Below are 13,953 nucleotides of genomic sequence, written 5' to 3' on the forward strand. Positions count from 1 at the left end.
TCAAAGTTTCTTTGCAATTATTTTTGTCTCTCTTCTTCTTCTTTTTTTTTTTTTTTTTTTTTTTTTTGAGACAGAGCCTCACTCTGTCACCCAGACTGGAGTGCAATGGCACAATCTCGGCTTACGGCAACCTCCGCGTCCCAGGGTCAAGCAATTCTCTGCCTCAGCCTCCTAAGTAGCTGGGATTACAGGCACCCACCACCACGCCTGGCTAACTTTTTTCTTTTTTTTTTTTTTTGAGACAGAGTCTCCCACTGTCACCCAGACTGGAGTACAGTGGCGCAATCTCGGCTCACTGCAACCTCTGCCTCCCGGGTTCAAGCGATTCTCCTGCCTCAGCCTCCCGAGTAGCTGGGATTACAGATGCCCGCCACCACGCCCGGCTAATTTTTGTATTTTTAGTAGAGATGGGGTTTCGCCATGTTGGCCAGGCTGGTGCTGAACTCCTGACCTCGTGATCCACCCGCCTTGGCCTCCCACAGTGCTGGGATCACAGGCGTGAGCCACCGTGCCCAGCCTCTTTTTGTCTTTAGAGTGAGTACTGTGTATACAAGTTCCGCGGGCTGATTCTTTTCTATCTCTATGTGGTTACGTTTTTCATTTGAAATACAGTTTGGTTCATTTGTTTTCTACTGTTATTCCATCTTAAAGCTTTTCCCTCCATCCTTGTTGATCAATTTTATCTTTCAATATAGAAAGCACGAATAGGGCTTAAAACTACACAAAAGGCCAGGCATGGTGGCTCACGTCTGTAATCCCAGCACTTTGGGAGGCTGTAGCGGGCAGATTGCTTGAGCCCAGCGGTTCAAGACTAGCCTGGGCAATATAGCAAGACCTCATCTATACAACAAAACAAAACAAAACAAAACAAAACGCCTGTAATCCCAGTACTTTGGGAGGCCAAGGCAGGTGGATTGCCTGAGGTCAGGAGTTCAAGACCAGCCTGACTAACATGGTGAAACCCCATCTCTACCAAAAATGCAAAAAAAAAAAAAGCTGCATGTGGTGCCAGGTGCCTGTAATCCCAGCTACTCAGGAGGCTGAGGCAGGGGAGTCGCTTGAACTCAGGAGGCAGAGGTTGCAGTGAGCTGAGTTTGTGCTACTGCACTCCAGCCTGGGCGACAGAGCAAGACTCCGTCTCAAAAAAAAAAAAAAAAATTAGCTGGGCGAGGTGGAGTGCACCTGTAGTCCCAGCTACTAGAGAGGCTGAGGTGGGAGGATCGCTTGAACCCAGGAGGCGGAGGTTGCAGTGAGCTGAGATCGTGCCACTGCACTCCAGCCTGGGCAACAGAGCGAGACTCCATCTCTAAATAAATAAATAAATAAATAAATAAAATAAAAATTGTAAAATCCCAACATGTCCCGGCAAGCGCTGCGTTCCATTCATGGAGCTCGTTCTTGTTCTTTTGCACAGCTGCAGAGCCCTCCTTTCTGGACTGTGGCATAGTTCATTCATTCACCTCTGTCCTGTGTGTGCACATTCGGGTTGAAACCAGCGTTGTGCATTCACAAACAGCAGTTTAGGCGATGACCTTTTGCACATATACTCGGTCTCGTTAGAGCCCTGTCTTCAGGGTGAATTTCTAGAAGAGGGGCCTGCCCTTCTGCAGTGTGGGGATAATGGTTAGATTAAGTTTTGTTTTGTTTTGAAATGGAGTTTCACTCTTGTCTCCCAGGCTGGAGTGCTGTGGCTCGATCAGCTCACTGCAACCTCTGCCTCCTGGGTTCCAGCGATTCTCCTGCCTCAGCCTTTCGAATAGCACCCGCCACCACACCCGGCTAACTTTTGTATTTTTAGTAGAGACAGGGTTTCCTCATGTTGGCCAGGATGTTCTCCAGCTCCTGACCTCAAATTACCTGCCCGTCTCAGCCTCCCAAAGTGCTGGGATTACAGGTGTGAACCACTGTGCCCGGTCCAGTCCAGGAGCAAGTTCTAACCAGGATCAAGGGTCAAGGTCTGGGTTTGTCCATTATCATAGGCTAAGTCAGGGTCAGGGTTCAGCCAGGGATCAGGGCTCAGTTCAGGATTGGGGCTCAGCCAGGGTCAGGGCTCATCTTGGAGTCAGAGCTGAGCCTGGGGTCAGGCATCAGTCTAGGTTGGAGGTTGGGATTGGGACCTGGGGGTCTTGGTCCAGGATTGGAGGCTGTGTCTGGGATTAGGGTTCAGTCTAGGATGTGGACCAAGCCTGGGATCAGCATTCAGTCCAGGGTAGGGGGCTGAGCCTGGGATTAGGGCTTAGTCTTGGATGTGGACTGAGCCTGGGATGAGAGCTCAGTCCAGGGATTAGGGCTCAGTCTAGGATGGGGACTGGGCTTGGGATGCAGGCTCAGTACAGAGTGGGGGGCTGGTCCTGGGATCAAGGCTCAGTCTAGGACGGGGGCTGGGCCTGGGACTCAGCAATCAGGACTCAGTCTAGGATGAGGGACTAAGCCTTGGATCAGTGTTCAGTGCAGAGTGGGGGGCTGGGCCTAGGAGCAGGGCTCAGTCAAGCATAGGGGGCTTAGCCTGGGATCAGGGCTTAGTCCATCATGAGGCACTCAACCTCAGAACACACAATGTCTCTCTGTGTAGGTGCCTGAGTCATGTGAGGCTGGACTGAGGCTCACTTGTCTACTCACTGGGCAGGGCAGTGCCTGGGCAAGACCTGGCTGTTTGTTTCCCTCCTGGCCTCACCTCCCAGCTGCCGGCCCCTCCTCCCCGAGCCCCACATCCCTCTCCAGATCCCCTTTCTGCTTGGTGACCTCCAGTGACAAAAGGCAGCTGCCTCCCCAGTCAGTTCCTCGCATGGAGCCTCCCGACACTGTCCTGCTTCAGAACTGAACCGTAAGCAAAGGGAGGGGCCATGGGGCCCCAGCATGTGCTGCGATCAGCCCCCGTCTCCTGCCAGCCCTGCCCTCCCTGGGGTGCCCCCGCTTCTCAGGGCCGATACTGTGCCGCTCATGGGACGCCTGTGTTCTCATGGGACGTCTGTGCCCTCATGGGACACCTGTGCCCCTCATGGGAGGCCTGTGTTCTCATGGGACGCCTGTACCCCTCATGGGACGCCTGTACCCCTCATGGGACGTCTGTGTTCTCATGGGATGCCTGTGCCCTCATGGGATGGCTGTGTTCTCATGGGACGCCTGTACCCTCATGGGACGCCTGTGCCCCTCATGGGACGCCTGTGTTCTCATGGGATGCCTGTACCCTCATGGGACGCCTGTGCCCCTCATGGGACACCTGTGTTCTCATGGGACACCTGTGCCCCTCATGGGATGCCTGTACCCTCATGGGATGCCTGTGCCCCGCATGGGATGCCTGCATTCTCATGGGACACCTGTGCCCTCATGGGACACCTGTGTTCTCATGGGACACCTGTGTTCTCATGGGACACCTGTGCCCTCATGGGACGCCTGTGCCCTCATGGGACAACTGTGTTCTCATGGGACGCCTGTGTTCTCATGGGACGCCTGTGCCCTCATGGGATGCCTGTGTTCTCATGGGACGCCTGTGCCCCTCATGGGATGCCTGTGCCCTCATGGGACGCCTGTGTTCTCATGGGATGCCTGTGCCCCTCATGGGATGCCTGTGTTCTCATGGGACGCCTGTGCCCCTCATGGGATGCCTGTGTTCTCATGGGATGCCTGTGCCCCTCATGGGATGCCTGTGCCCTCATGGGACACCTGTGTTCTCATGGGACACCTGTGCCCTCATGGGACGCCTGTGTTCTCATGGGACGCCTGTGCCCTCATGGGATGCCTGTGCCCTCATGGGACGCCTGTGACCTCATGGGATGCCTGTGTTCTCATGGGACGCCTGTGTTCTCATGGGACGCCTGTGCCCTCATGGGACGCCTGTGTTCTCATGGGACGCCTGTGCCCTCATGGGATGCCTGTGCCCTCATGGGATGCCTGTGCCCTCATGGGACGCCTGTGTTCTCATGGGACGCCTGTGCCCCTCATGGGACGCCTGTGCCCTCATGGGACGCCTGTGCCCTCATGGGACGCCTGTGTTCTCATGGGACGCCTGTGCCCCTCATGGGACGCCTGTGCCCTCATGGGACGCCTGTGCCCTCATGGGACGCCTGTGTTCTCATGGGACGCCTGTGCCCCTCATGGGACGCCTGTGTTCTCATGGGACTCCTGTGCCCTCATGGGACGCCTGTGTTCTCATGGGACGCCTGTGCCCCTCATGGGACGCCTGTGTTCTCATGGGACGCCTGTGCCCTCATGGGACGCCTGTGTTCTCATGGGACGCCTGTGCCCCTCATGGGACACCTGTGTTCTCATGGGACGCCTGTGCCCTCATGGGACGCCTGTGTTCTCATGGGACGCCTGTGCCTCTCATGGGACACCTGTGTTCTCATGGGACGCCTGTGCCCTCATGGGACGCCTGTGCCCTCATGGGACACCTGTGTTCTCATGGGACGCCTGCATTCTCATGGGACGCCTGTGCCCTCATGGGACACCTGTGTTCTCATGGGACACCTGTGTTCTCATGGGATGCCTGTGCCCTCATGGGATGCCTGTACCCCTCATGGGACGCCTGTGTTCTCATGGGATGCCTGTACCCTCATGGGACGCCTGTACCCCTCATGGGACATCTGTGCCCTCATGGGATGCCTGTGCCCCTCATGGGATGCCTGTGCCCTCATGGGACGCCTGTGTTCTCATGGGATGCCTGTACCCTCATGGGACGCCTGTGCCCCTCATGGGATGCCTGTGTTCTCATGGGATGCCCGTGCCCCGCATGGGACGCCTGAATTCTCATGGGACACCTGTGCCCTCATGGGACACCTGTGTTCTCATGGGACGCCTGTGTTCTCATGGGACACCTGTGCCCTCATGGGACGCCTGTGTTCTCATGGGACGCCTGTGCCCTCATGGGACGCCTGTGTTCTCATGGGACGCCTGTGCCCTCATGGGACGCCTGTGCCCTCATGGGACGCCTGTGTTCTCATGGGACGCCTGTGCCCCTCATGGGACGCCTGTGCCCTCATGGGACGCCTGTGTTCTCATGGGACGCCTGTGCCCCTCATGGGACGCCTGTGTTCTCATGGGACGCCTGTGCCCTCATGGGACGCCTGTGCCCTCATGGGACGCCTGTGCCCTCATGGGACGCCTGTGTTCTCATGGGACGCCTGTGCCCTCATGGGACGCCTGTGCCCTCATGGGACGCCTGTGTTCTCATGGGACGCCTGTGCCCTCATGGGACGCCTGTGCCCTCATGGGACGCCTGTGTTCTCATGGGACGCCTGTGTTCTCATGGGACGCCTGTGCCCCTCATGGGACGCCTGTGTTCTCATGGGACGCCTGTGCCCTCATGGGACGCCTGTGTTCTCATGGGACGCCTGTGCCCCTCATGGGACGCCTGTGTTCTCATGGGACGCCTGTGCCCCTCATGGGACACCTGTGCCCTCATGGGACGCCTGTGCCCTCATGGGACGCCTGTGTTCTCATGGGACGCCTGTGCCCCTCATGGGACGCCTGTGCCCTCATGGGACGCCTGTGTTCTCATGGGACGCCTGTGCCCCTCATGGGACACCTGTGTTCTCATGGGACGCCTGTGCCCTCATGGGACGCCTGTGTTCTCATGGGACGCCTGTGCCCCTCATGGGACACCTGTGTTCTCATGGGACGCCTGTGCCCTCATGGGACGCCTGTGTTCTCATGGGACGCCTGTGCCCCTCATGGGACACCTGTGTTCTCACGGGACGCCTGTGCCCTCATGGGACGCCTGTGTTCTCATGGGACGCCTGTGCCCCTCATGGGACGCCTGTGTTCTCATGGGACGCCTGTGCCCCTCATGGGACACCTGTGCCCTCATGGGACGCCTGTGCCCTCATGGGACGCCTGCGTTCTCATGGGACGCCTGCATTCTCATGGGACGCCTGTGCCCTCATGGGACACCTGTGTTCTCATGGGACACCTGTGTTCTCATGGGATGCCTGTGCCCTCATGGGATGCCTGTACCCCTCATGGGACGCCTGTGTTCTCATGGGATGCCTGTACCCTCATGGGACGCCTGTACCCCTCATGGGACATCTGTGCTCTCATGGGATGCCTGTGCCCCTCATGGGATGCCTGTGCCCTCATGGGACGCCTGCATTCTCATGGGACACCTGTGCCCTCATGGGATGCCTGTACCCTCATGGGACGCCTGTGCCCCTCATGGGATGCCTGTGTTCTCATGGGATGCCTGTGCCCCTCATGGGACGCCTGCATTCTCATGGGACACCTGTGCCCTCATGGGATGCCTGTACCCTTCATGGGACGCCTGTGTGTGGTTGCCATGATTACTACCTGAGACTGTCACTACGACAGTTACTATTGTTACTACTTGAGACCATCATTACAAGACTGAACGAAGGGACGAATGTAGAAATGAAAACTTAAGACAGAAGAAACTGTTTTAAAGGAAGGGACCAGGGGAAGAAAAAGAGAGCTCCCTGCTTCTAGTGAGCAAAGGCAGCCCCCCAAGCTTCTACAGCCCTTCGTACTTATTGGGTAGAAAGCAGGGGGAGGAAACGATTGGCCAGCTGCTTGATTGTTCACACGTTCACGTTATTGCTAACAGGTTTCAGATTTGCCTACTTGCAAGAAACACTTGTGCCTGGGGCGTGACTGCCCTCAGCATTCCTTCTGGGCGGCAGACGCAGTTTGTCAGTTTGCCAACAGCCTGCTTTCATGAGAACAGTTTGCTGTTTACTCACGTAGCCTCCAGTGGTATACTGAGTTGATCACAACCCTCATTCTTTCGGCCTTCAACACCTGAGCCCTCACGGGACATCTGTGCCCCTCATGGGACACCTGTGTCCTCGCAGTACACTTGTGACCCTTCCAGGACACCTTACTGGTAGAATTAGTGTAGCTGCCCCCACCCTGAGGCCAAGGACACCATTGTCTCAGGAAGGCTGAAGACCACAGGCTCCTGGGGGGACAGAGGGCAGGTGGGGCCCCTCAGGACCCTCCTTGGTGGTAAGTGGGCCTGGCCTGGGGGTGATTGCAGGCGGGAGGAGGCTCCCAGCAGGGACTTATCCTGGGTCCTACTCACACTTCTGGGGCCTGCATTATTTCCCAAATCACCCCACACCCCAAGGCCTTCTGGATGGGGACGAGTGGGGGGTCACAGACACTGGGGGAGCTGGAGAGCAGAGACCTCACACTCCATCCGTGACAGATGATGTCCAAGCCCCTACATGCCCCAGACCCCAGGGCAAGGCTGAGCCTCCCTCCTCAGACCCCAGGGCAAGGCTGAGCATCCCCACTCAGACCTCAGGGTAGGGCCTCGCCTCCTCCCTTGGACCCCAGGACAGGGCCTCACCTCTCCCCTCAGACCCCAAGGCAGGGCCTCGCCTCCCCCCTCAGACTCAGGACAGGGCCATGCCTCCCCACTCAGACCCCAAGGCAAGGCCAACCCTCACCCCTAGACCCCAGGCAGGTTCAAGCCTCCCCGCTCAAACCTCAGGGCAGGGCATACCTCCCTCCTCAGACCCAGGGCAGGGTGTGTCTCCCCTCTCAGACCACAGCACAGGGCCTCGCATCCCTCCTCAGACCCCAGGACAAGGCTGAGCCTCTCCGCTCAGACCCCAGGGTAAGGTCATGCCTCCCCTCTCAGAACCTAGGGCAAGGCCAACCCTCCCCCCTCAGACCCCAGGCAGGTCCAAGCTTCCCCCTCAGACGCCAGGGCAGAGCCTGCCTCCCTCCTCAGACGCCAGAGCAGGGTGTGTCTCCCACTTAGACCCACAGCCACCTCACCTCAGGCTGAGTCACCGTGAGCCGTTGTCAGCAGGGCCATGGGGATGGGGTGAGCAAGTCCCTACTTTTCCTATGCACCTCAATCCCAGTGGGGGGCTGCCCCAGGGGGCCAGCAGCTCTGCTCCCAGCAGGGTGAGCTCAGGGGCAGGAGAGGCAACCATGAATCCCAAAATGGGCGCCTGGCCCCGAGACCCTACCAGCTTGTCCCTGGGGGTCTCTCTCCCTGGACCTGTGTGTCCTCCCATGGGCAGAAAGTTGGCCTCAGGCCGCCTTTGTGGGCCTCAGTTTTCCCTTCTGTAACGCATCAGGCTCTCTGGGCCTCAGTTTCCCCTTCTGCAACGCATCGGGCTCTCTGGGCCTCAGTTTCCCCTTCTGCAACGCATCGGGCTCTCTGGGCCTCAGTTTCCCCTTCTGCAACGCATCGGGCTCTCTGGGCCTCAGTTTCCCCTTCTGCAACGCCTCGGGCTCTCTGGGCCTCAGTTTCCCCTTCTGCAACGCATCGGGCTCTCTGGGCCTCAGTTTCCCCTTCTGCAACGCCTCGGGCTCTCTGGGCCTCAGTTTCCCCTTCTGCAACGCCTCGGGCTCTCTGGGCCTCAGTTTCCCCTTCTGCAACGCATCGGGCTCTCTGGGCCTCAGTTTCCCCTTCTGCAACGCATCGGGCTCTCTGGGCCTCAGTTTCCCCTTCTGCAACGCATCGGGCTCTCTGGGCCTCAGTTTCCCCTTCTGCAACGCCTCGGGCTCTCTGGGCCTCAGTTTCCCCTTCTGCAACGCCTCGGGCTCTCTGGGCCTCAGTTTCCCCTTCTGCAACGCATCGGGCTCTCTGGGCCTCAGTTTCCCCTTCTGCAACGCATCGGGCTCTCTGGGCCTCAGTTTCCCCTTCTGCAACGCACCGGGCTCTCTGGGCCTCAGTTTCCTCTTCTGTAACGCATCAGGCCCTGTTTCGGGGATCAAGTCGGATGAGTCAGTGCTCAAGGGCATGCAGGCACTTGACATTTATTAGGCACCTGCTGTGTGCTGAGCGCCGGTGGAGCATGTGGGGAGACCTCAGTGGAGCCGACGGGTGCTTCGGGGGTGATCAGGGCTGGTGGGGAGGAGTCGTCCGGCTGGAAAGGGGTGGCCCATCCCGAGTGGGGACTCATTTCCCCTCCGTGACTGACGGCTCCGGGGCTCCCTGCGGGTCTCCGGCTTTCGAGGACAGGAAGAAGGCAGCCAGGGCAGGGGTGGGGGTCCTCACAGCCAGGGCAGCCCCAGCGCGTTGGCTCCAGGAGCCCGGGTGGGGGCCGACCGTTGGGGTGCCCCTCCCTGTCCTCGGCCTTACCTCCACCCTGGAGGGCACCTTGAACATAACAGGAAATTTCAAATAACAGGAAACCAAGACCAGCAAGGCGGGTGGCTCCACCCTGCGTCGGGCCTCAGTCAGCCCCCGGGGGAGGCCATGAACGCCACGGGGACCCCGGTGGCCCCCGAGTCCTGCCAACAGCTGGCGGCCGGCGGGCACAGCCGGCTCATTGTTCTGCACTACAACCACTCGGGCCGGCTGGCCGGGCGCGGGGGGCCGGAGGATGGCGGCCTGGGGGCCCTGCGGGGGCTGTCGGTGGCCGCCAGCTGCCTGGTGGTGCTGGAGAACTTGCTGGTGCTGGCGGCCATCACCAGCCACATGCGGTCGCGACGCTGGGTCTACTATTGCCTGGTGAACATCACGCTGAGTGACCTGCTCACGGGCGCGGCCTACCTGGCCAACGTGCTGCTGTCGGGGGCCCGCACCTTCCGTCTGGCGCCCGCCCAGTGGTTCCTACGGGAGGGCCTGCTCTTCACCGCCCTGGCCGCCTCCACCTTCAGCCTGCTCTTCACTGCAGGGGAGCGCTTTGCCACCATGGTGCGGCCGGTGGCCGAGAGCGGGGCCACCAAGACCAGCCGCGTCTACGGCTTCATCGGCCTCTGCTGGCTGCTGGCCGCGCTGCTGGGGATGCTGCCTTTGCTGGGCTGGAACTGCCTGTGCGCCTTTGACCGCTGCTCCAGCCTTCTGCCCCTCTACTCCAAGCGCTACATCCTCTTCTGCCTGGTGATCTTCGCCGGCGTCCTGGCCACCATCATGGGCCTCTATGGGGCCATCTTCCGCCTGGTGCAGGCCAGCGGGCAGAAGGCCCCACGCCCAGCGGCCCGCCGCAAGGCCCGCCGCCTGCTGAAGACGGTGCTGATGATCCTGCTGGCCTTCCTGGTGTGCTGGGGCCCACTCTTCGGGCTGCTGCTGGCCGACGTCTTTGGCTCCAACCTCTGGGCCCAGGAGTACCTGCGGGGCATGGACTGGATCCTGGCCCTGGCCGTCCTCAACTCGGCGGTCAACCCCATCATCTACTCCTTCCGCAGCAGGGAGGTGTGCAGAGCCGTGCTCAGCTTCCTCTGCTGCGGGTGTCTCCGGCTGGGCATGCGAGGGCCCGGGGACTGCCTGGCCCGGGCCGTCGAGGCTCACTCCGGAGCTTCCACCACCGACAGCTCTCTGAGGCCAAGGGACAGCTTTCGCGGCTCCCGCTCGCTCAGCTTTCGGATGCGGGAGCCCCTGTCCAGCATCTCCAGCGTGCGGAGCATCTGAAGTTGCAGTCTTGCGTGTGGATGGTGCAGCCACCGGGTGCGTGCCAGGCAGGCCCTCCTGGGGTACAGGAAGCTGTGTGCACGCAGCCTCGCCTGTATGGGGAGCAGGGAACGGGACAGGCCCCCATGGTCTTCCCGGTGGCCTCTCGGGGCTTCTGACGCCAAATGGGCTTCCCATGGTCACCCTGGACAAGGAGGCAACCACCCCACCTCCCCGTAGGAGCAGAGAGCACCCTGGTGTGGGGGCGAGTGGGTTCCCCACAACCCCGCTTCTGTGTGATTCTGGGGAAGTCCCGGCCCCTCTCTGGGCCTCAGTAGGGCTCCCAGGCTGCAAGGGGTGGACTGTGGGATGCATGCCCTGGCAACATTGAAGTTCGATCATGGTACGTGATGTTGCGGCCTCTTATTCCCTGGTGCGTGCATGCGTGGGGGCCGTGGCTCAGGGGGGCTGTGGATCTAGGGGCAGCCGGGTGTGTCTTTGCTAGAGAGGGCCACGGGCCAGTGCCCTGTGAGGGTGGAGTGTGTGTGTGTGTGTGTGTGTGTGTGTGTGTGTGTGGACAACCTCTGGGCGTTGCGGGAAGTGGGGGTGACAATGACAGTTAATGCCGCCTCTTCTTGTTCACTTCCCCTTTAGAAATGGCAGGGCCCATGCCCCATCTCTGGCCTCTGCATCTTTTGGGGACCCACTCTCTGGGGCTGGCAGAGGCACCACCTTGGCTTCCTGGGCTGGGGGAATCTTCCCTCACATCCCCTTCAGCATGAACGGCCTCGGCTTTCCCGGTGGGTAAAACAGTTTAATCACTGAAGCCGAAGCACAGGGTTGATTGTACACGCTCCCCGCCAGCCACAGGGGCTGACAACTGCCTGCCCCGTGAAACTCCAGTGGAGACGTTTCAGCTCCACACCATTCAGTATGGGAGACGCCAGCCCCACGGGGCTACGGTGCAAGCAGATAACTGAATTTCGAAGTGTAGGTTGTGTTTAATTTGAATCTGTTTATATTTCGGTAGCCCCATGGGGCGGGTGGCCACAGTTTCAGTGCAGATGTAAATCCGGAAGCCTCCAGCACCTGCAGCTCATAGACAGCTCTCGCCCACCTTCTCCCAGGACCAAGCCAGTCCCGTCCAGTCCAGTGTCTGAGCAGAGTCAGAATCCACACCACCCGCCGCCTGGGCTCAGAAAGTTCTGCTTTAAGTCATTATTTCTCCACTGTACGATGGGGAATGCGGTGTGTGGGGGCCATTTACCCACCAACACAGCAGCTGTGAGGCACACACGGCTATTGAAAATTCATGGAAATTGCTGGGTGTGGTGGCTCATGCCTGTAATCCCAGCACTTTGGGAGGCCGAGGCAGGAGGATTGCTTGAGTGCAGGAGTTCCAGACCAGCCTGGGCAACATAGCGAAACCACATCTCTACAAAAAAATCCTCCAAAATTAAAAAAATTAGCCCGAGCATGTTGTTGCATGCCTGTGGTTCCAGCTACTCGAGAGGCTGAGGTGGGAGGATCACTTGAGCCCGGGAGGTCGAGGCTGCAGGGAGCGGTGATCGTGCCAGCCTGGGTGACAGAGTGAGACCCTGTCTCTAAAAAAAAATTAAAAAAAAAAAAAAAAGAAAATTCATTGAAATTAAATGAAAGTTAGGCCAGGTGCATTGGTTCATGCCTGTAATCGCAGCACTTTGGGGGGCCGAGGTGGGTGGATCATGAGGTCAGGAGTTCAAGACCAGCCTGGCTAAGATGGTGAAACCCTGTCTCTACTAAAAATACAAAAAATAAGCTGGGTGCGGTGGCAGGCGCCTGTAATCCCAGCTACTCGGGAGGCTGAGGCAGGAGAATCGCTTGAACTCGGAGGGTGGAGGTTGCAGTGAGCTGGGATTGCTCCACTGCACTCCAGTCTGGGCGATAGAGTGAGACTCCGTCTCAAAAAACAAAACAAAAACAACAACAAAAAAGAAATTAAATGAAAGTTAAAAATTTAGTCTCTCAGTGTATTGATTTGCTAGGGCAGCCATGACAGTCTCACAGATGGAGAGGCTTGAAAACAGACATTTATGCTGCCATAATTCTGGAAGCCAGAAGTCTGAGATGAAGGTGTGAGTAGGGCTGGGTCCTCCTGAGGCTGACGGGGATCTGCCCAGGCCTCTCCCAGTTCCTGCTGGTGGCCGGCGTCCTTGATGTTCCTTGGCTTGGAGAAGCGTCAGCCGCATCTCTGCCTCCATCTCCACAAGGCGCCCTCCCTGGGTCTGTATCCAAACTCCCCCAACTCCTTCAACCTTTTTTATTTTAAGAGATGAGGGGCCGGGCGCCGTGGCTCACGCCTGTAATCCCAGCACTTTGGGAGGCCGAGGTGGGCGGATCACGAGGTCAGGAGATAGAGACCATCCTGGCTAACACGGTGAAGCCCCATCTTTACTAAAAATACAAAGAATTAGCCAGGCGTGGTGGCGGGTGCCTGTAGTCCCAGCTACTCTGGAGGCTGAGTCAGGAGAATGGCGTGAACCCGGGAGGCAGAACTTGCAGTGAGCGGAGATCAGGCCACTGCACTCCACCCTGGGTGACAGAGAGAGACTCCGTCTCAAAAAAAAAAAAAAAAAAAAAAAAAAAAGAGATGAGGGTCTCATTAAGTTGCCCAGGCTGGTCTCAAACTCCTGGGCTCAAGTGATCCTCCCACCTCAGCCTTCTGAATAGCTGAGACTACAGGAGTGCACCACCAAGCCTGGCTCATTTTCCTATTTTTACATTTATTATTATTATTGTTATTATTATTTTTTTGAGAAGGACTCTCGCTCTGTCGTCCAGGCTGGAGCGCAGTGGCGCGATCTCAGCTCACCACAACCTCCACCTCCTGGGTTCAAGCGATTCTCCTGCCTCAGCCTCCCGACTGGGACTACAGGCACGCACCATCATATCTGGCTAGTTTTTGTATTTTTAGTAGAGACGGGATTTTGCCATGTTGGCCAGGCTGGTCTCGAACTCCTGACTCAGGTGATCCATCTGCCTCCCAAAGTGCTGGGATTACAGGCGTGAGCCACCGTGCCCGGCCGATTTCCCCATTTTTATAAGGCCACCAGTCACATGGGATTAAGGGCCCACCCTGCTCCAGTATGACCTCATCTTAACTAATGCCATCTGCCACAACCATTTTCCAAATAACATCCTATGCTGAGGTCCTGGGGGTTAGGATGTGATCATGTAGATTTTGATGGGACAGTTCTTTATTTTCTTTTATATTTTAGAGACAGGGTCTTGCTCTGTCACCCAGGCTGGAGTGCAGTGGTGTGATCATAGCTCACTGCAGCCTCGATCTCTTGGGCTCAAGTGATCCTTCTGCCTTGGGTTTCCGAGTAGCTGCAATTACAGGTGCACACCACCACACCTGGCTAATTTTTATATTTTTTGTAGAGACGGGGCTGGGTGCTGTGGCTCACCCCTGTAATTCCAGCACTTTGGGAGGCCGAGGCAGGTGGATCACCTTAGGTCAGGAGTTTGAGACCAGCCTGGCCAACATGGAGAAACCCCGTCTCTACTAAAAATACAAAATTAGCCAGGCGTAGTGGTGCATGCCTGTAATCCCAGCTACTTGGGAGGCTGAGGCAGGAGAATTGCTTGAACCCGGGAGGCCGAGG

The 13,953-nt window shown here is 58.2% G+C and overlaps 1 protein-coding gene across 1 annotated transcript, besides 6 other annotated features; it reads left to right on the top strand.

Annotated features, from left to right (window-relative positions):
- Positions 7,131 to 8,013: an enhancer, noted in NCBI's record as "H3K4me1 hESC enhancer chr19:3176749-3177631 (GRCh37/hg19 assembly coordinates)". NCBI's record gives its function as "activates a minimal SCP1, AML or CMV promoter by ChIP-STARR-seq in naive H9 embryonic stem cells {active_cell/tissue: H9 hESC(naive)}" and the evidence as "EXISTENCE:reporter gene assay evidence [ECO:0000049][PMID:30033119]".
- Positions 8,817 to 9,366: a silencer, noted in NCBI's record as "silent region_9831". NCBI's record gives its function as "represses an Ori minimal core promoter by ATAC-STARR-seq in GM12878 lymphoblastoid cells {active_cell/tissue: GM12878}" and the evidence as "EXISTENCE:reporter gene assay evidence [ECO:0000049][PMID:35858748]".
- Positions 9,149 to 10,712, top strand: S1PR4 (sphingosine-1-phosphate receptor 4). The gene has a single exon (NM_003775.4). It carries the CDS (start codon positions 9,173 to 9,175, stop codon positions 10,325 to 10,327), a length of 1,155 nt encoding a protein of 384 aa, NP_003766.1. The 5' UTR covers positions 9,149 to 9,172; the 3' UTR covers positions 10,328 to 10,712.
- Positions 9,597 to 10,246: an enhancer, noted in NCBI's record as "active region_13727". NCBI's record gives its function as "activates an Ori minimal core promoter by ATAC-STARR-seq in GM12878 lymphoblastoid cells {active_cell/tissue: GM12878}" and the evidence as "EXISTENCE:reporter gene assay evidence [ECO:0000049][PMID:35858748]".
- Positions 10,287 to 10,466: an enhancer, noted in NCBI's record as "active region_13728". NCBI's record gives its function as "activates an Ori minimal core promoter by ATAC-STARR-seq in GM12878 lymphoblastoid cells {active_cell/tissue: GM12878}" and the evidence as "EXISTENCE:reporter gene assay evidence [ECO:0000049][PMID:35858748]".
- Positions 10,507 to 10,736: an enhancer, noted in NCBI's record as "active region_13729". NCBI's record gives its function as "activates an Ori minimal core promoter by ATAC-STARR-seq in GM12878 lymphoblastoid cells {active_cell/tissue: GM12878}" and the evidence as "EXISTENCE:reporter gene assay evidence [ECO:0000049][PMID:35858748]".
- Positions 11,347 to 11,396: an enhancer, noted in NCBI's record as "active region_13730". NCBI's record gives its function as "activates an Ori minimal core promoter by ATAC-STARR-seq in GM12878 lymphoblastoid cells {active_cell/tissue: GM12878}" and the evidence as "EXISTENCE:reporter gene assay evidence [ECO:0000049][PMID:35858748]".

This window comes from Homo sapiens, chromosome 19 (genome assembly GCF_000001405.40).
Source record: "Homo sapiens chromosome 19, GRCh38.p14 Primary Assembly".
NCBI classification, from domain to species: domain Eukaryota; kingdom Metazoa; phylum Chordata; class Mammalia; order Primates; family Hominidae; genus Homo; species Homo sapiens.

Excerpts from the sequence above, each read along its gene's own strand:
- S1PR4 (NM_003775.4), top strand. The coding sequence starts at position 9,173 with ATGAACGCCACGGGGACCCCGGTGGCCCCCGAGTCCTGCCAACAGCTG.